Source organism: Homo sapiens, chromosome 2 (genome assembly GCF_000001405.40).
Source record: "Homo sapiens chromosome 2, GRCh38.p14 Primary Assembly".
Taxonomy (NCBI): Eukaryota; Metazoa; Chordata; class Mammalia; order Primates; family Hominidae; genus Homo; species Homo sapiens.
The window spans coordinates 21,975,165-21,982,116 of NC_000002.12; the positions used below are offsets into that span (position 1 = coordinate 21,975,165).

A 6,952-nucleotide genomic window follows, 5' to 3' on the forward strand; every position below is an offset into this window, starting at 1 on the left:
CTATACTTTTATGTTCATTGTCCTATTTGGCAATACCTCTGTAAAGATTTTTAAGAAACCAGAGAACAAAGACTGTGGCTGACTTATCTCTATGTTCTAAGTCATCAAGAAGAGATAAGTAAAGATATTTGATAAATATTTACTAAATTAAAGTCTCCCCTGTCAGGCTACCCCTTAAATATTAAGTATTACTAACAATTTATAGTGCACATCTTTGGTAAATAATGTGGCATTCCCTTTTATTTATATGGTACATGCAAACATCTTAACATAACATTAATTCCTCAAGCTCAAGGTGTAAAGTGCATTCTTCCATTATTGTAGTATATGTCTCCACATATAGTGCCACAATGCCTAGCACAAAACCGAGATGGATCGGCTCAAGAAAGCTTATTTATTTGATGTTTCAATATAGTAAAAAAAAAAATGCTGTTTTTTAAATCTATTTTCAGATTAGCAAGCTAAACAGAGAAAAAGATAACACTCAAGAAACTGCCTATATGTAAGAGATTCCTTTGAGAACTTTCAAATGGCTCCTTTCTACAAAAGACCTGAGAATACTTAACCCCCCACCACTAGCACACTCAAAGCTCAAGGCAAATGCATTTTCAAGATTGACAGGGTCTTGGACTCTGAAAGTCTTTGGTGAGTATTGCCCTGCAAGTCTTAATACTCTACCAAATGAGTAAGTACACTATTTTCTGAAAATATTTCAAAAGGCGACATTTTTCTCATGTTTCCACTACAACCACCCACCCTCCTTCTTTACTGGCTCTCCTAATGATTCTTCCAACCCAGCAGTAATGCACCGTGGAATCAGGTGAATGGTATCAGTAGCTTCCGCCCTTCTTTATCATTGGCACTATCTAATGCACAGTTTCTTTCCTGATGCCATCTGCCAATAAGCCCAAATACGTCATCTTTCATCTCTCCAGAAACCACAGGCTGCTTTATTTAAGTGCTATTCTAGATTTTAATTTTAACAAAAGGAATTAAAGTGCAGAGATAACTGCTTCCAGAAATACTAGCCACTGCTTATACTGTCTCTCCTTTACCAAAAGGAGACACTTACATATGCACATACGCACCCCAAACTGAGTTCTGAAAAGCCATTCACTGGGGGTGCAATGAGTTCCTTCACGTGTTTTTAGTAAGATTGACTGGTCTACTCAAAGTTCTTTCAATACTTACTCTACAAAGCAATTTGTTTAAAACCCAGGGAGATTCAGGGGGTTGGTTGATCGGGGACCACAAGACTTACAGCTCCAATATTATTCAGTATTTTAAATTACACAAAGGACTGCTGCTTTTAATCTCTGGGTGGGCTGTGACTGAGCTGAAGAGAATCTGTTTTTGGGTTCACTTCCAGGATGTCGGTAATCTCTGTCTTGTTGAATATTTGTTTTTCCTTTTTTTCTGCTAAATATATTTCTTGGTTTCTAGAAGTGTTCTCTGATGTCAAGTGTTCATAGCAGAGAGATCCCAATTATTTGGCTTCAATGTACAGTCAAGAGAGTCCTGTCAACCCTCATTAAATCCTTCAGTCTTATCTTTTAGTCAATATATTGAGCCTCCTCTAGATGCTATCCTTGTTATAGATTTTAATCATCTTGATTACATGATTCTTCTGTTACAAAGTTCTATATGGGTTAGTACAATCACACAGTAATGACAAGTCTTAGAAATTTGCATGACATTTCCTAGGTTTTTAAGTTCTTTAACATACATCAGGCATTTTTCCATCAGCACAACCATGTGAGATAAAGCAGTTGATAATTTTCTTCAAGTAAGTAGACAAAGGATCCGAAAAATAAAGGAACTTGCTCTAGAAACCATGGATAATAAGGGACATTTAAAATGCAACCTCCAGAGCTTACATATGAGACTTTAGTATAGTAAACTAAAATGAATACACATCAAATGAAAATGATATAATATCATATGTAAAAATAAACAAAGTTGGTTTAAGAATATATTCACCAATACCTCATGAGTGAAGCTTGTATGACTAGCAGTACTTAAACTAGTACTGCTAGGAGAGACGAAAAAATATCACGTGAAAAAAGCAGACCTTGGGAATTAAAAAAAAAAAAAAAAAAACACACTAAGAGAAGAGATGTTTTGTTTTCAGTTATTGCCAAACTCCAGATCTAACAGTGCATTAGTTCATCTGGTCCTTTATAGCTAAATGACATTCTGCACTCATTAGAAGATATGCAGATTTTTATTAGAGTTTTTCATTACTATACAAACTGACCAATTTCTTGATATTTTGACTAATTAACAAGAAAGTTGTTTATAAAAATGGAAGATTCTGTGTCCCATTGTCAAAACATCAGCATTTTGAACTAGGGAAGACATGTAACACTGAGATCATGTGTTATGAAAAATATAAAATATATCCCAGTATTTGAGGAAACCGCCGGCTTCATCAGTCTGTGTCAGGGAATTAATTTTCAGTCATACATCCCTGCTGATATATCTGAAACCTGAGAAAGTCCAATTTCCTTCCTTCATATGTGTCTAATAGAGTATGAATAGTTCAAGTGTCTGAGGGAAATCAGAGGCCGAGCTAGAGACTCACTTTCTCAGTAACAAGGAGGACAGTGGCTTCAACCTGCTGCTGACAGAGGGGCTTGCATCTTCCATGCCCCAGGAAAGGTTTTCACACCTGGGTAAGGTGCAAATTGCAGTCAGAAGACAAGGGCCCAATGGAAATAGGATGGACTACTGGGCACAGGATGGCTTTCTGCCTACCCTTTCTCCTCTGCAAACCAGAGAAAGGGCAAAATTCTGTGGGTTTCTAGGGGAGGAACCTGGAGCTACAGCTCTTTGTTGACTAATCTCCTTCTCTTTTCCCTCCTGGGAGAGCTCCAGGCACACGAATAGGTCCAAAGGTACAAAAACTTCCATTTAGGACTATGGAAGGCAACAGGAGAGAGGAGGTAATCAATTTGTGGTCCATCCCAAATTCCCTTTCAGCTAGCGACCTAAGAGAGTGGGATGGGGAGCCTCACCTGATGCAGTGGTAATTCCAGACAATGCATACTTGAGAGTCAGATATAAAGTGGTCATCCATTCCTGAGTCCTAAATGAGCATTTGCTGTGCATTCTGCTCAGAGCTCATGTATTGTGTAACAGTGAGCATAAAAACCACTGTTTTTAAAGTATGCTGTATTTATGAAAATTATTGAACAATGATAAGGCTCACATCATAACAGTGACTGATTTTCCATTTAGTATTGAGAAATGATTCACAAGGTGTGGTCCTGGGACCAGCAATATCAGCATCACTTTGGAACTTGTTAGAAATACAAATTCTTAGGCCCCACCCCAGACAACGTGAATCAGAAACTCAGGATGGAGCCCAGTTTTCTGTATTTTAGCAAGCCCTCCAGGGGATTCTGATACACACTAAAGTTTAAAAGTGATGAGCATTTATGAATCTGCACTTACGTTCTTTGTATTTCCAATGCATTTACATGTCATTGTATTTTCTATGAATGTGAAATCAAAGAATGCCTTAGAAGCAACCATCATAAAAAAAATTTACAAACACTAATAATGCAACTACAAAAAAGAAGTCACCTTTATGTAGTAATTAATTTATTGCACATTGATAGTCTTTTAGAAAAAGACCAGGGATTAAATCCCAGGCTTGCCATGACATTGTGACTGTGGACATGTTTCTTACCTTTTTCCAGTCTCAGGTTTCCTTATCTATACTGTACTCATAATCAAAGTGTTTCCATTATAGGATTGTTTTGAGGGTGAAAATGTAAATACACTTAAAGATATAGTTTGTGTTTAATGTACATATACCTATGAATATTATCACATAGTTTTTGCATGAATCTGTGTAACAGTAAAAAAGTGAACATCATAGGTGAAGCATCTTATGTTTAAAGGGTAAATTTTGACCACATGCATATAGAGATTGAGAATTATCCACAATTGGTATATATATCCACTCAGATCTATTATATAAAATGGTATCTTGGCTGGGCAAAATCTAAGCTCAGATACTTCTGACAAGTGAAGTAGGACTATGCCACTTAAATCATTTATACCATCGATTGAGGTTATCTGGGGGCACCACGGGGCACCAGGGACCAGATTTCAGGGAGCAACAATGCAGGTCCCAAAAGGAAACTCGTTACCAAGGAAGTCAGGAAGACCAAATCTCTTGGGCCAAACTGAGTAACAAAGCCATGCATTGTACATTTATTACCTCATACTAGAACTTATTCTGATCTCTTCAGTGGGCTGTGTGTACCCAGGAGGAGGGAGCTAGGTGTGGCCATTGGAAAAGCTGTGTTTCTTAATGCTGTGATACTTTGGAGTGCAAGGAACTTTGCTCTGATTCACATCTGAGCTTAGCCAAAACACACTATTCTACTCACTTCCTGAAATCAGTGCTATAATGAAGTGTGGCAGGGCATGTGGGTGTCTAGAGGCAGCAATGATGAGGAATGCAGAATTCTGACCTACCTGAGTGTCCCCAGCATGACTTGGTGTCCCTAGCTTGCTGGGATCATCAGACATGAACACCATGCCACCACTACAATTCTCTTCAGTTGAGGCAACTCTTCTACGGAACCCTAGCTACAAGTAATAATGAAAGACTATTTTTTTCCCCTTTGCCTGGGTAGTCAAAGTTTTATCTTATACCAGTGTTCATTTGTAGTGTGTCTTCATTATCAACTTAGGATATTTTTTGGGAAATGTGAAAGTACAAAAATAATGTGAGGTACAAACCCACAGCAGTACTTTGGAAGTCCGCTTAAGATATGAAGCTTAAGTTACAGCAGTGGATAATAACCAGAGGGCACATCTTTGCTTTGGAGAATACTTGAAAGTCTTGTGGGGAGGTAACCTTATAAAAGCTTGGATTTTGTAGTAAAGCAGTTGGGGACTTGGGAACAATGAATATCAGGTGTAAATGGTGATGGATCTATTTCTGTTTTCTCCATTAGGACCCAAGAAAAATCGTGTTATCTAAGAGAGCAGTTATTCTGACACAGACTGATATCAGGTGCCTGTGGCATGAAACACGGAAGAGAATAATAGCATCTACCTTATAAGAAGACATACTATATTCTGGACCACATATCTGATAATTCTTACAGCCCTTTAAAGATAATCATAACTAGAATATTATCTTATTTTGTAGCTCATAGATGTCAAAAGACTAGCTCATAATTTTATTGCGGATACATAGCAGAACCAAGATTTGAACTCAGACCTGTCTCATTCCACAACTCATTTTCCTTGAAGTCAATAGATGCCACTGATCTCTAAATACCTACAAAAGGGGCTCGGAGGTGGAGAGGGGATGTCTGAGGAGCCTTAGGACTACCACCCAATGTTCTGTCTTTAGATAGAGATGCTATCACCAATCTCTCTTTCACACATACTCCTCCTCTTCTCATTTCTGTTCGTGTACTTGGTTCTCAGTGTAAGATTTTGTTAGAAGAAAGAGGCATGTTGGTAAAATAAGAAATAATATATCAAAAATAAAATAAAATTGTTTGAAAGTCTCTGCAGTGCTTTAACAATGAAAGAAGTATCTATGCACACTTTATAGTTTGCTAAATACATAATTGATTAAGTTAGAAGACTATGTAGAGCTGCGGCGGGCAGATCACTAGGTCAGGAATTTGAGAACAGCCTGGCCAACATGGTGAAACCCCGTCTCTACTAAAAATACAAAAATTAGCCGGGTGTGGTGGCAGGCGCCTGTAATCCCAGCTACTTGGGATGCTGAGGCAGGAGAATTGCTTGAACCTGGGAGGCGGGGGTTGCAGTGAGCCAAGATCATGCCACTGCATTACAGCCTGGGTGACAGAGCAAGACTCTGTCCCAGAAAAAAAAAATTTAAAAAATTAAGCTATGTAGAGTTATTTCTACAAATTGGGTTTAGCCATTGTTATATGAATATTTATTGCTCTTATATACAGTTCTGAGAACCCCTGAAATGATTACTGAATATATATTTTAGGGTAAGGAGAATAACATGGTGCAATCATAGTCAAATTATTATGCCCGGATTGGTAAAGAGAGTTGATATCCTCACTCCAATACCCCCCACCCCAAACACACACATATCTTCAAATACTACTTTAACAAGTCTTACTCCACCCTGTGTGGATGAGTCACAAGGTTAAAAAGAGTTCAGGCAAATATAACAAAACAACTGGCTGAACCTCATCACCTAGGCATGCCAGCAGGACAGAAGCACCCCAACAATTAAGACATCATATGGTAAGCTGTGTTGTGCACATTGTCTGCATTACAGAGTGGGAGAAAGAAGATCAATGTTGGCTCAAGTGGTCAGAAAAGGCTTCAAGAAGAAACACATTCATGCGGTAGATGACCTTAGAGAAGAGAGTGATACTGCTTACTAAAGCAGGATCCAGGTAAGCACTTGTCAAGCTCCTAGGGGTCTTCGTGGATTCAGGGATTTCTCAGTCACCATTACTATAATGATACAGTGGGTCTCTGTATTAGCCCATTTTCATACTGCTGATAAAGACATGCCTGGGAAGAAAAAGAAGGTCAATTGAACTTACAGTTCCACATAGCTGGGGAGGCCTCAGAATCATTGGCGAGAGGTGAAAGGCACTTCTTATGTGGCAGTGGCAAGAGAACAAGGAGGAAGATGCAAAAGAGGAAACCCCTGATAAAACCATCAGATCTCGTGAGGCTTATTCACTAGCACAAGAACAGTATGGGGGAAGCCACCCCCATGATTCAAATTATCTCCCTCTGGGTCCCTCCCACAACATGTAGAAATTCTTGGAGTACAATTCAAGATGAGATATGGGTAGGGACATAGAGCCAAACCATATCATTCCACCCCTGGCCCCTTCAAATCTCATGTCCCCACATTTCAAAACCAATCATGCCTTCCCAACAGTCCTCCAAAATCTTAACTCATTTCAGCATTAAC

At 38.7% G+C, this 6,952-nt stretch overlaps 1 long non-coding RNA gene across 1 annotated transcript in view; it reads left to right on the plus strand.

Moving 5' to 3' along the window:
* Positions 1-5,488, plus strand: part of LOC105374320 (uncharacterized) — a 28,997-nt gene extending 23,509 nt beyond the window's left edge. The window contains exons 4-5 of the long non-coding RNA XR_939813.3: positions 453-645; positions 4,977-5,488. This is a non-coding gene — a long non-coding RNA (uncharacterized LOC105374320). The remainder of the gene's footprint in view (positions 1-452; positions 646-4,976) is intronic.
* The last annotated feature ends 1,464 nt before the right edge of the window (positions 5,489-6,952 follow it).